This window comes from Homo sapiens, chromosome 17 (assembly GCF_000001405.40).
Source record: "Homo sapiens chromosome 17, GRCh38.p14 Primary Assembly".
Lineage (NCBI taxonomy): Eukaryota > Metazoa > Chordata > Mammalia > Primates > Hominidae > Homo > Homo sapiens.
Window position 1 is genome coordinate 18,394,163 of NC_000017.11, and position 13,282 is coordinate 18,407,444.

A 13,282-nucleotide genomic window follows, 5' to 3' on the forward strand; every position below is an offset into this window, starting at 1 on the left:
CTGGCCCAGCCTCAGGGCTGCTGTCCAGCAGGTCTCTCAGAGCCCACCTGCCCCTGTCCTCCCCCATTTCCCTAGAACTACAGCCCTCACTGTCCCCATGGGGAAGGGGGAAAGGTGTGGGGACAGTGGGGGCTTTGGCCCAAAGAGAATGGGGGAGAAGACGGGCAGGGCCCCGCTCTGGGCATCTCATGGTGAGACCAGAGAGGCAGCAGGGCTTGTGGCTAAAGACCTGGGTCTGGTGCTGGGAAGGGATCTGGGGCCAGGTAAGAGGAGCCCAGCCAGGAGCCCATCCCTCGGGGATCATAGGATGCAGAGACAGAGGATCCCGGGGGAGGTAGGGTGGGAGGGAGCTGATGAGCCGTGCCACTTCTGAAATGCAGGGTGTGTGGCTCAGATGCAGGGAGAGGCAGGTGGATGCTGGGAGGTCAGAACCTGCAAGAGCCTTGGGGCTGTCAAGTGGGATGGGCCCCTGGTGCACCCAGAGTACACCGGGCAGGTCTCAGGGCAGGCTCCCTTGACCCTGGCGGGGTGATGTGGTCACTCCCTGAGGGACTCCTGTCAGGGCCCGGTCGCCCACCCTGGGTGGCCCCCATCCCATCTCAGGGCTAACCTTTCTCAGCTCCAGCAGAAAGCACCACCTTGAGTCCAGGACGCGCAGCCCCATTGTGCAGCCTGACCACCCCCCATGCCAGGGCCCCAGTAACCCCAGCCAGGCTGTCCCTGCACTCCTTCTCCCAGGTCCTGCCCCTCCTGGGAGTCAGCCCCACAGGAAGGTCCTTGTCCTCCCTTCCCTGTGACTTCTCCGGGGCTGAGCCCTGAGCTGGATAGGGACAGTGCCAGTCCTTTCTGGGGGTCGGCTCCCAGGCTTGGGTGGCTCCAGGCCCTGTGCAGGTCCTCAGCTCTGCCTGAGTTGCCTTACAGTGAGACGGAGCTGCCTCCTGTGACTGCACGGGAGGCAAAGGTAAGAGCCTGATGCATGGAGGGGCTGGTCCAGGGACGTAGGGACTGGGCGGGTGGTCAGTGAGGCAGAGGAAGCAGCTGGCCTGGGCGGTGGCGGGTGAGGGCAACACGCTGTCACTGGGAGGGGCAGCAGAGACCTGACCCCAGTTGCTGTAACTTTGGCAGTTTGATAAAATTCCAAAGTGAGAACCACAGTCCTGGCTTGGGGGTGGCTGCCCGCTTGTGTCAGGAACCCACCTAGAGGCTGGGACCTAAGACTGGTGTGTCTGTGGCCTAAGGATGGCACATCCTGGGGTCCCAAAGCCAGCCCACTGGCGCTCATTTGCTCAAAGGCTCTCAGCCCTTAGGGTCTGCCCTTCCCTGGCTCCTTCCAGCTGGGTCCCACCAGGGCTCCAGAGCCCAAGACCCAGCATCCACGGGCGGCTCTGGGAAGCCTGGCAGCTCCGCTAACTCCAACATTCCTCATTTGGCAGCAAATTCGGCAGGAGAAAAAAAGAAAGAGCAAGTGGCTGGAAATGCTGGGCAAATGCGAGACATATAAAAACAGCAAAAAGGTAATGTGTGGAGGGAGAGGCCCCGGAAGTACTCTCTGCAGAGACAGAAGAGAGGCACCCATGGCTGTGGCCTGGCACCGTCAGCCTCTCAGAGGGCGGGTGGCACACTGTCCTTGCACAGAAGACTGCAGGCCTGGTCGTCAGATTGCCTGCCTATTCGTGCAAGCGTCACCTTGCTGGGAGGGAATCTGAATCTAGGGCTGGGACCACCTGGAGCTCAAGGCTAGGGATGCCCTGGTGACCTGAAGGAAGAAAAAGGTTCGGATCACAGTTTCAACTCTGAGTGTCCATCCACTCTTTCAGTCCTGGGAAGGGAGACCCTGTCCCAGCTTGATCTCACCTCTACTGAGGAATCATGGGGCCAAAACCAAAAATTTCCAGAATCCCTGGGCTCTGATCCTCACTGGGGTCACCCCATGGCCTGTGACACCAGATTGTTTTCTGCCCACAGCTCATAGATCGCATCTATAAGGGCATTCCCATGAACATCCGGGGCCTGGTGTTGTCAGTCCTCCTGAACATTCAGGAAATCAAGTCAAAACACCCCAAAAAATACTAGGTACGCTCAGCCAGAGCACAACAAACAGGACAGGCTGTGTCAGGGGCCCAGGCCTCCAGCTGGAGGGAACGTCAAGCCCAGCCTGGGGGGGTGGGGGGGATGGTCAGATGCACTTCCTGGGCACAGACGGTGACATAGTCACCACAGATGAACTCGGCTCTGGTGACCCTCCCTGGCTTCAGTAACAAGCCAAAAAGCAGCTTTCTGCACAAGGAAACCTTCCTTCTTTCCTTCCTTCCCAAAGCGCTGACTGTGGGCTGACTGCCATTTGGGGCAGGGAGTCTTCCATCTGTTCTGAGGCTGCTTCCTCCTCTTGGCCCTGCCCTACAGATCATGAAGGAGAAGGGCAAGAGGTCTTCTGAACACATCCACCAGATCAAACTGGACGTGAGCAGGACTCTCCAGAACCATGTCTTCTTCAGGGATCGATATGGAGTGAAGTAAGCCTACGAGAGCCACAGGGTCCCAGAGGAGATGGGGTGAATGAGAGGGATGGGGACTTTCCCAGAGCAGAAGCCAGGATCACCCAGGAGGGATGACAGGCTGCCAAGAGCTCTCCTAGCCCAGGGAGCAGCCGGCACCATGAACCAAGCACCTCCCTGGTTCCAAGCCCTGGGCCAGGCTGGAACATGTGGGGCCAGAACCCAGGAGGATCCTGAGGAGACAGAAGACAGCAAACAAAATCATGCATAATGGTGAAAGGTGCTCTCCCTGACCCACGGGGACCCATGGTAGGACCCACGGGAGGGTGGCAGGATGGAGAGCCCATGAGCCTCCCCAGGCAACACTGACAGCACCAAATGCTGGGAGAATTAGGGGTCCTGGAAACTCTCATCCAGGTCTGCTGGGAATATGACATGGCACAGCCACGTTGGCAGCCAGTTGGGCAGTGGCTCACAAAGCTCAATGGACTTGAACCACACGTCCCCAAGGTGTCACAGATATTGAACCCACTGATTTGAAAACTGACATCCACATGAAACCTGCATGCCACGTTCACTGCTTGATTCCTCATCAGTCACACACGAAGCCTTCTGGGATGGCCTTCAACACGGGAATGGGGAGAGACAGTCTGGTCCTCCTTTCAAACAGAAGACCCAGTGAGAAAAGGGAATGAGCCAGTGATGCCCGCAGGAATGTGGGTGGATCCTAGATGCATTTTGCTAAGGGAAAGAAGCCAGACCCAATAAGCTACCACAGTAGGATTCCCATTCCTAGGCCATTCTGGAAAAGACCAAACCATAGGGACTGAGAAGCAGTCTGGGTGGCCAGGGGCTGACGGATCGGGGAGAGGCTGGGTGCATAGGGGAAACCCTGGAGATTTGAAAGATCAGGAGTCACTCCAGGAGGGGCTGGAGTGGTGGCCGGGAGACTCTGCACACTGGTTTGGAACCGTGGAGGAACTGTACACCCAAAGACTGAACTGGCGTGTGTGCAAACTGAAAAAAAAAAAAAATCATTCAGAGTGAAAAGGATCGGTCAACTCCCTGTACAACTGGGCTATTTGCATGTCACAGATGTGGATTTTACTGAAACATTTCTTCAATAATCTCAGGCCCTGAAAGTTCACTGCTTATCTGGTGAATCATCTGAACCTGAAATGGGATTTGTTGTTAGGATTTGTAGACAAAGTGAAACTAACAGCATCTGCACAAACCAAACCCTAGCCCCCTTTCTCTGTTTCCTAGGCAGCGGGAACTATTCTACATCCTTGTGGCATATTCAGAGTATAACCCGGTGAGTATTCCCGGCAGTGAGGTTCCTGGGCCATATTTCCATATTCACAGGAGTGGGTGTCTGATGGGGGTGTCGTTGCTTCTTTTAAAGTTAGTATTTGTGACCCACCAGGATATAGGAGGTAGGATTCCAGGTCACTGCTGGCATAAACCTCCAAGCAAGGGGGTGGTCTCAAGGGGTCAAGCTGAGACACAAAGGACTTGGGGCCTGGACTCCTGGTGTCACCTGGGCCTGTCACCTGGGCACTTCTCAGAACAAGAAATGACACCCTCCTCCTGGGGCTGCCCCAAAGCCTGGGAGCTTGGCAGTGTCACATGCAGGACGGTGCTCTCAGGAGACAATTTGGACAAGGTGCTGAAGTGCCTGATGGACTTGGCTCTTGTCATGAAATGAATTTGCATCCTGAGGAAGCCTCTTCAGAGGAAGCCTCCCCAGTCACCTCTGCCCTCTCCAATGACATGAGTCCTCCCAGGTGACCTCGGCCCTCCCAGGTGATGTCCTTCCATGGCGACTCTGGCTCTTGCAGGAGGTGGGCTACTGCAGGGACCTGAGCCACATTGCCACCTTGTTTCTCCTTTATCTGCCTGAGGAAGATGCATTCTGGGCACTGGTGCAGCTGCTGGCCAGTGAGAGGCACTCCCTGCCGGGTAGGTGAACAGCTGCCCGTGGGGCCTCATGCAGCCAGATCTGGGGACAGCCACCGTGGCCAGGTGATCTCGGCTTTCAGCCAAGGCACCATCCTTGTGTCGCCAGCTTGTTGGGAGCCTTTAGGACGTCTCTGCTGAGGGTCCCACAGGAGTCCGCAGCTGACCCCCACAGCCCAAGTCAAATGCCTTTCATCCCCATCAGCAGAGGGCATCTCATCCTCCCCGTGGCCACCCTCTGTGTCCTGGAGCCACACCCTCCGGCTCTGACTCTGTGCAGCTGACTCTCCCCTCCCTGAGAGTCCTCCTGCCCTCCAGCTGCCCAGGCTCCTGCTGCCCTTGGTGCCCACGAATGGGCTAACCAAGCCCAGGTGGCAGCATCTCCCCATCCCGTGTCCCCTGGCCCAACCCCACTTCCACAAGATGACCAGGAAGCCCAGCACCCACCGTGTTCTGGCCGCTCTGTTGTGACCTCAAAGTCAGGCTTGCCCTTTTTGCACCCTAGCCCAGGAGGCCTCCAGGGGAACCTCCAGCCAGGCTCCAGGGGATGTTCTTGTCCTACCTCCCCAGGGCAAAGGCCGCATGGTGGGGTCACCAGATGGGAGGGTGGGAGGCCTTCAGGTTTGGGGGCCTCTGCAGCTGCCCAGCTCTTGCAGCTGATGGCTCCACATCTTGGGGGAAGGCTCTGATTTCATGATGGGCTGGGGGCTTCTCAGGATTCCACAGCCCAAATGGCGGGACAGTCCAGGGGCTCCAAGACCAACAGGAGCATGTGGTACCCAAGTCACAACCCAAGACCATGTGGCATCAGGTGAGTTTATTGTCCCCTTGGCTCTTCTCAGAGGCCTTGCCTCCCGTGGGGCTATAGGAGCAGGGGGACTGGAGACCCTCGTGGGACTGGTGACTGGCGGAGTCCCAGCCAGGGCCTGACCTGAGACGTCGGGTTCTCCATGGGCTGGGAGTTTGTTTCCTTTCCTGCCCTGGAGGAGACAGAGGCACAGGGATGGGGGCCCAGCTCCCGCAGAGCAAGTCAAAGGTCAGTGTGTCCACTGAGAGTGTGGGAAGGGGACAGTGTTGTGGGGAGCTCTGGACACCGCCCAGTGTTCTGCACTAGGGGAAGGGTCTTCAGAGGCCCTGGAAGATGGAGGTTTTTAGGGCAGCCCAGGGGGCCCTGAGCACCTCTGTTCCTCCCATCAGGACAAGGAAGGTCTATGCGGACAGTGTTCCTCATTAGGCTGCCTTCTCCGGATGTTGATTCAAGGGGTAAGGAGGCATAGGGAGACCCTGGCTCAGGGACCCTCCTTGCCCTGCAGTGCCCTGCTTCCCCAGTCCGGGGGTCTGGCTCACTCCCAGCCCACAGGAGGCTCAGGCGGGTCCCCGAAGGACACACAAGCAAAACCCTCTGCCCAAGAGGGGTCATCCCAGGGCAATGGCTGGGGCTCAGGCCCAGCCTCATGGGCAGACTGGGCCAGGACCCAACTTGAGAGGGCTCAGGGAAGCCTCAAGCCCTGGGCAAGCCCCTCTGTCCAGGAGCCACATCCCCACTCAAATGAGTGCCCCCTATGAGGAGCTGCAAGACCTTGTCTGACCCACCATTCTAGATGGCTCAGGCGACCCTCATGGGGAAGGTCACTGACTCTGGAGACTGAAGCCCCAATGTGTGCAGCTTGAGCCACCAGCCCCAGCCTGGAAGGGCCAGGTTGTCTCACACCTGCTGTCCCCACAGATCTCTCTCGGGCTCACCCTGCGCTTGTGGGACATGTATTTGCTGGAAGGACAGGTGTTGATGCCGATCAGAAGCATTGCTTTTAAGGTTCAGAAGAGTAAGTCTATGTGTACCCAGTGGGGCCTGGGGAGCCCTGCGGTCAGACCCGACTGGCCCAAGGGCAGCTTCCTCACACTGTCCTCATGATCCTCTGTTCTGGCCCAGAGGGAGGTCTGGCCAGGTGGGCTGGGAAGGGCACTGTGATGCCGAGCCCATCCCTCACATGACCCAGATGAAGGTCAGGAGTGTGGTGAGCACTTCCCTGTCCAGATCACCCCCCAGCCACAGTCTCCTGTGTACATCTGGACGCCTGGGGTGGCCACAAAAGGATCCGGCACGGCCCAGTGGGAGACTGAAGTGGCCACGGGGTATGAGCTGTGACCATTCCCAGGTAACTGTCCTGGCCTGATATCCACCCTGTCCCTAGAGCGCCTCATGAAGACATCCAGGTCTGGCCTTTTGGCATGTTTTCGGAACCAGTTCTTCCATACCTGGGCCACGGACGATGACACTGTGCTCAAGCATCTTAGGGCCTCTACGAAGAAACTAACAAGGAAGCAAGGGGACCTGCCACCCCCAAGTGGGCTCCAGTGCCATGTCCCCTCCCATGTCACCCTCTGGGGCAGTCAATAGTGGGCGAGTGCCCCGGACCAGCAACCCTACTACCTGGGCCTTCCTCTTCACCTTTTCTTCCTTCTCTTCCTCCTGGACTCTAAGAAAGTACAGGAGGCCCACCAGTCCTCAGGGCAGGCGCTCAGTGTGTGTATACTGGACATGTTGTGCACGCAGGAGGGGGATGTGGGCAAGACCCTCCAACAAGCCCCCTCCCACTTTCCACGGTGTCTCGCTCTGCCCCTCACAGGGCCCTCAAAGTTACTAGAGGAGCCAGGCCCATTTGTGGGAGACCCCCCCCTCCCTACAAGCACCCACAGCCTCAGAGAGCAGCAGAGGCCCCTCACTCCTGCACCTCCTCCAAGGTTGCCAGGACAACAAGCCTTGAGCAAGGGAGACAAGGGAATTGGGTGTCCCTGACCCACAGGGCATTCAGGGAGAGGGCACAGGCAGGACCATTTTCTTGTCTACTTGATTTTAGAGTCAGTTCTTACTATTAGGCAGCTACTAATTAGTTGATATTAAAACCAGCCCTCGTTTAGGCATTTTACTTTGATAATATAGTTTTTATTATTTAGGCATTTTATAAACTTAACCTTTCTCTTGCTATCTCCCCAGAAAGATGACAAACCTGCATTTATAGTTTTGCAGCTACAGATAATTGTACAAGTAACTAAATATGTGGAATTGTTAATTTGTGTCAAGCGCTGTACTAGGCATATTATATACATAATTTACTCTATATAGCCCAGTATAAAGTAGTTACCATTATAATCCACATTTTTCAGATAAGGAAAATGAGGCACAGAGAATTTAAGAAATATATATAAGTTACACTAGTAGGATGTAGCAAAACCCACATTTAAACCCACATTTCTCCCCAAAGAGCTTAAACTCCTAACTTTTATGTTATACTGATTTGGTACTTATCACTTTTGAGTCTCAGTTTTCTCATCTAGGAAGTACACTACTTCATTTGTTCATTAATTCATTCAGTCGTTTCATTGTCTACCACGTGCTAGGCTATACAGAGGTGCAGGCACAAGGATTAACCAGGAAGAAAACAGACTGTGTGTGCTGTCAAGGGCATAACTTTCCAATGAGAGGAGTCAGAGAGCCAGGAAATAAATGACTGTAACGTCATGTGGTGACAAGAACTTTTATGAAAAATGAAGTAGGCTAAAGTAGAGAGAAAGTGTTGTATTAGAAGCACATTTTACATCATATGTGGAAAATTCTGGTAATGAGACATTTGAATAGCAAGAAGAAGATTCTAGGCAAAAAGTGAGACAAAGTTAAGTAGGAGGATGTTCTGGGAAGAACGTGCCCATCAGTGAGGCCAGAGCAAAGTGCACAACGGGAGGATGGTAGACGACAGTTTCAGAGCAATGCCAGGAGCTAAATAATGCCAGGCCTTGGGAGACATTGTGGTCAGTTACTGTCCAACCAGGAGGCTGAAACTGCACAGTAATTTGAATAAGGAAAATTGAAAGTAAATAACTTAACTATTTCAGGGAAATCTCTCTTAAAGCAGGGGTGTCCAATCTTTTGGCTTCCCTGGGCCACATTGGAAGAATTGTCTCGGGCCATACATAAAATACATGAACACTAATAGATGGCCAATAAGCTAAAAAAAAAAATCACAAAAAAACCTCATAGTGTTTTTCTGTTTGTTTTGGGTTTTTGTTGTTGTTGTTTGGTTTGGTTTTTGTTTTTTGGGATTTTTTTTGATACGGAGTCTCGCCCTGTTGCCAGACTGGAGTGCAGTGGCACCATCTCGACTCATGGCAACCTCTGCTTCCTGGGTTTAAGCAATTCTCCTGCTTCAGCCTCCCGAGTAGCTGGAACTACAGGCACACACCCAGCTAATTTTTGTATTTTTAGTAGAGATGAGGTTTCACCATGTTGGCCAGCATGGTCTCGATCTCTTGATCTCATGATCTGCTTGGCTCGGCCTCCCAAAGTTCTGGGATTACAGGTGTGAGCCACTGCACCCAGCCTGTTGTTTTGTTTTTTTGGACAGAGTCTTAACTCTGTCACCCAGGCTGGAGTGTAGTGGCATGATCTCGGCTCACTGCAACCTCTGCCTCCAGACTCAATCAATTCTTGTGCCTCAGCCTCCTGAGTAGGTGGGATTACAGGCATGTGCCACCACACCTGGCTAATTTTTGTACTTTTAGTAGAGAGACGGGTTTTCACCATGTTGGCCAGGCTGGTCTTGAACTCCTGAACTCAAGTGCTCTGCCTGCCTCGGCCTCCCAAAGTGCTGGGATTATAGGCATGAACCGCTGGCACCCAGCCAAAAATCTCATAGCGTTTTAAGGAAGTTTACAAATTTGTGTTGGGCCTCATTCAAAGCAGCCCTAGGCTGTGGGTTGGACAAGCTTAGGAAAGGCAAAGCAAACACACACACAAAATAGGGACAGCAAATTCACGGAGCTGCCAGTGTGCTCTCCAGAGCTTTAGGCAAGCACTGCAGGAAGAAACAAATCTGGAAGAATCTCCCACACACACCAGAAGTGAGTGCTAGACCTCCTTGGAGAGGGTGAGGATGTAGCCTGCTAGAGAGCAGAGAATTTTGCTGAGTTTCTACACTGACAAAACACTGGAAAACTGCTCCCCTAAGTGCTGCTTGTGACCTGCTCTGTCCCCAGAGAGGTGATGGCCAGGGTTGGCTGCTGTCCCCCACAAGAGCAAGGTAAGAGGAGCACTCAGAACTAGAAAGAGCCCCAACCTTCTCCAGCGTCCCTTTAGCAGATGCTGCAGATGAAGTTTCACACCGTGCCACAGAAAAGGCAAAGCCGGCAAGCAAGGTAAAGGGGGGAGGTTTGGAACTGATGGCAATCAGCTCAACAGTGCAAGAAAAATGAGTTTTCTTTTGAAAAGACGTTCAACATCACTGATCATTAGAGAAATGCAAATCAAAACCACAACGAGCTACCACCTCACACTAGTCAGAATGGCTATTACTAAAAAGTCAAAAAATAACAGATGCTGGCAAGGTTGTGGAGAAAAAGGGAACACTTAGGCACTGTTGGTGGGAGTGTAAATTAATTCAGCCATTGTGGAAGACAGTGGCAATTCCTCAAAGACCCAAGACTGAAATACCATTCAATGAAGCAATCCCATTACTGGGTGTATACCCAAAGGAATATAAATCATTTTATTATAAAGACATATGCATGTGTATGTTCATTCCAGCACTAGTCACAATAGCAAAGACATGGAATCAACCCAAATACCCATCAACGATAGGCTGGATAAAGAAAATGTGGTATATACACACCATACACCATGGGGTACTATGCAGACATAAAAAAGAATGAGATCGTGTCCTCTGCAGGGACATGGATGGAGCTGGAGGCCACTATCCTTAGCAAGCTTATAAGTGGGAGCTAAATGATGAGAACACATGGACACATAGAGGGGAATGACAAACACTGGGGCCTTTCGAAGGGTGGAGGGTGGGAGGAGGGAGAAGAGCAGAAAAAAAAAATAGTGGGTACTAGGCTTAATACCTGGATGATGAAAGAATCTATACAACAACCCCCATGACACAAGTGTACCTATGGAACAAGCCTGCGTATGTACCCTGACCTTAAAAGTTAAATTTTTTTTTAAAAAAAGAAAAGAGTTTTGCCCTCATTCAAAGAATTTGAGCCAAAGGGTGACATTTTAAATGATATTTTTGAAAAATCGGCTAGATGGCTTCATGGAAAGACAAAAGGAACAATAGAAGGAGTAAAAAGCATCTAGAAGGACAGGCTACTAATCGAGACCTGAGATGACAGATGGGAAGGGGTGGAAGCAGTAGACCTGTAAGAGATGCTTGGATTCACAAAAGGTTTGTTTTTTTTTTGTTTTTTTTTTTTCAGTGCAGTGGCGAGATCTCGGCTCACTGCAAGCTCCACCTCCCAGGTTCACGACATTCTCCTGCCTCAGCCTCCGGAGTAGCTGGGACTAAAGTTGTCCACCACCATGCCTGGCTAATTTTTTGTATTTTTCGTAGAGACAGGGTTTCACTGTGTAGCCAGGATGGTCTCGATCTCCTGACCTTGTGATCCACCCTCCTCGGCCTCCCAAAGTGCTGGGATTACAGGCATGAGCCACGGCACCCAGCCTCATTTGCTGTTAAACTCATTTATTGAGTCACCTTTTTCTTCCTCACACTTTTTAGTATTAGAATTTTTGTGTGTTTTTATTTACCCTAACCTGTCAATTTCATAGTTTCCACTTTCTTGTTGAAGTTTCCAAACTTGACCTCATGCCTTTGAATATACTAATTCTAGTTGCTTTGACACATTTTTTTCTTTTTCCTTGGCATCTGTTTATTCCTTCTCACAGTGTCTTTTTTCTTCATTGACCCTCACATCTTTGAGCAAATGTACAAAATATAGTGGGTGAACAACTGGTTTTGTCTGTCTTTAGAGGCCCAACTAATGTTTTCTTTCTCAAATGATTGCTATTTGCTCATGCCAGAAGTATAAGGACAGTCAAATTCTGAATTACTTTCATAAAAATTTGGAGTTGGAACCTTTTTGGGCACTCAGTTGGAGAGCAGCCAGCCTGCTGTGGTGACTGGGTGAATTCTGGTTCCTTCTCACTGCTTTAATGTACCAGCAGCTTTTGATATCCATGACCAAACTGGGAGCCTCTGCAAGACTAGCAGAGGTTTAACACAACCTGGTAGATATCCCATCTGAAGTAATAAATGGCTCCAGGGCAAAGCAGCTCTTATTTCTCTAAATGCTGTTTCTCTCCAAATCTTAGCCTGACAATTCTTAGCTGTGCATTAACTCAGTTAGTGTTAAAAAATAATAATAAATTATTACCTCTTATTTATTTTATTCATTTATTTATTTTATTTTTATTTTTTTGTGATGGAGTCTTGCTCTGTCACCCAGGCTGGAGTGCAGTGGCACAATCTCGGCTGACTGCAACGTCCGCCTCTGAGAATCAAGGGATTCTCCTGCCTCAGCTTCCCGAGTAGCCGTGACTACAGGCGCACGCCACTACTAATTTTTGTATTTTTAGTAGACACGGGGTTTCGCCACGTTAGCCAGGCTGGTCTCAACCTCCTGACCTCAAGTGATCCACCCACCTCGGCCTCCCAAAGTGCTGGGATTATAGGCGTGAGCCACTGTGCCAGGACCTGATTTGTTTTAAAATGTTATTTTACATACAAAACCTAATTTAAATTATTCTCGGATATCTAATCTGTCTTTATCAGAAGCAAAAGTCTGACATTTATTCATCATAAAAAATGGTATTTGAAATTTTCTCTCACTTGTGTTGTTTTGTTGTTGACCTCACAAAATTATCTTATAAAAATGTTCTTGATTATGTCTGATAATATTGTTTTGACAAATAATTTTTTCTTTGCGCCATTCTTGAAACTTTTATATTGTAACGTTAGATGAAAAGAATTAAGAACTATCTTAAACTGGTGTTAGAAAGCAGTGCTTACTAAGGACCTATGTGTTAAAAGAGAAATGGCACTATTTGTCAAAATGTCTACACAACCACCTAATTTGAATGTATGCTACACTGCAAATAAAATGTTTATATTTATAAATGTCTTATTTTTTGTCACAGCGTAGACTGAATTGGAGAAGGAACAAAGAAATCTGTAACCGGTGTGATCAATCAGTTGTAAACACCAGCCTCCAAATTACCTGTTATTAATTGTTGGTACTGAGCGTTCACAGTGAAATAGAACCATCAGAAAACATGGGCAAATAAAATTATTAAAAATTCATCTCTATGATGTGCCATGTTCTGAATAGGCAGTTTCTGAGTGTCTGGGCCATCTGTACAAGAAAGAGAGTTGTTATTTGGTCAAGGACACGTGCATTTTTCAGTCTAGAAGAATGTCATCATTTTCTTGAGGTAATTGCAATGTTCCTACTCTGTATCAAACAGCAAATACCTCTGATTCCTAAGGCAACAGCATAGTTATTATTTGATTTTTTCCAAGTGAATAAAATGAAAAATGAAATGTTGTGTCACAATCCCAAAACACTGCTGGCATATGGAATAGTTGAGATGATAGAACATGATTTGACAACTCCAAACTGAAAATATCTATCCAAGCAGTTGCACTCCTGAAAAACTATTATATTGTCTGGCAAAAGACTCTCTCATGATAGGAAGGTTTTCTAGATATTTCTAGAAATAGAGACAGGGATAAAACTTTATGTGGCCCCAAGAAAAGGAATCAGAATTGAGTATTGTCAATGATTGCTTATGGGCTTGAGAATTAAGAAAAAAAGGACCCCTCCCCACAGGTACCAACAGTTACATAACCACGGGTGCCATGGAACTAATTTGACATACTGAAACAATTTTCTATAATCATTCAGATTTCTGACAAATCAAAATATAACTATCAAATTCATACTTATGTTAGTTACAAGTCAAATCTTATTTTTAAAAAATCCAAATTCTTTGA

General features: G+C 50.0%; 1 pseudogene, besides 3 other annotated features; it reads left to right on the forward strand.

Moving 5' to 3' along the window:
• TBC1D3P4 (TBC1 domain family member 3 pseudogene 4) lies at positions 917 to 6,798 on the forward strand (annotated as a pseudogene).
• Positions 4,889 to 5,389: an enhancer, noted in NCBI's record as "H3K4me1 hESC enhancer chr17:18302365-18302865 (GRCh37/hg19 assembly coordinates)". NCBI's record gives its function as "activates a minimal SCP1, AML or CMV promoter by ChIP-STARR-seq in naive H9 embryonic stem cells {active_cell/tissue: H9 hESC(naive)}" and the evidence as "EXISTENCE:reporter gene assay evidence [ECO:0000049][PMID:30033119]".
• Positions 5,544 to 6,044: an enhancer, noted in NCBI's record as "H3K27ac hESC enhancer chr17:18303020-18303520 (GRCh37/hg19 assembly coordinates)". NCBI's record gives its function as "activates a minimal SCP1, AML or CMV promoter by ChIP-STARR-seq in primed H9 embryonic stem cells {active_cell/tissue: H9 hESC(primed)}" and the evidence as "EXISTENCE:reporter gene assay evidence [ECO:0000049][PMID:30033119]".
• Positions 6,045 to 6,545: an enhancer, noted in NCBI's record as "H3K27ac hESC enhancer chr17:18303521-18304021 (GRCh37/hg19 assembly coordinates)". NCBI's record gives its function as "activates a minimal SCP1, AML or CMV promoter by ChIP-STARR-seq in primed H9 embryonic stem cells {active_cell/tissue: H9 hESC(primed)}" and the evidence as "EXISTENCE:reporter gene assay evidence [ECO:0000049][PMID:30033119]".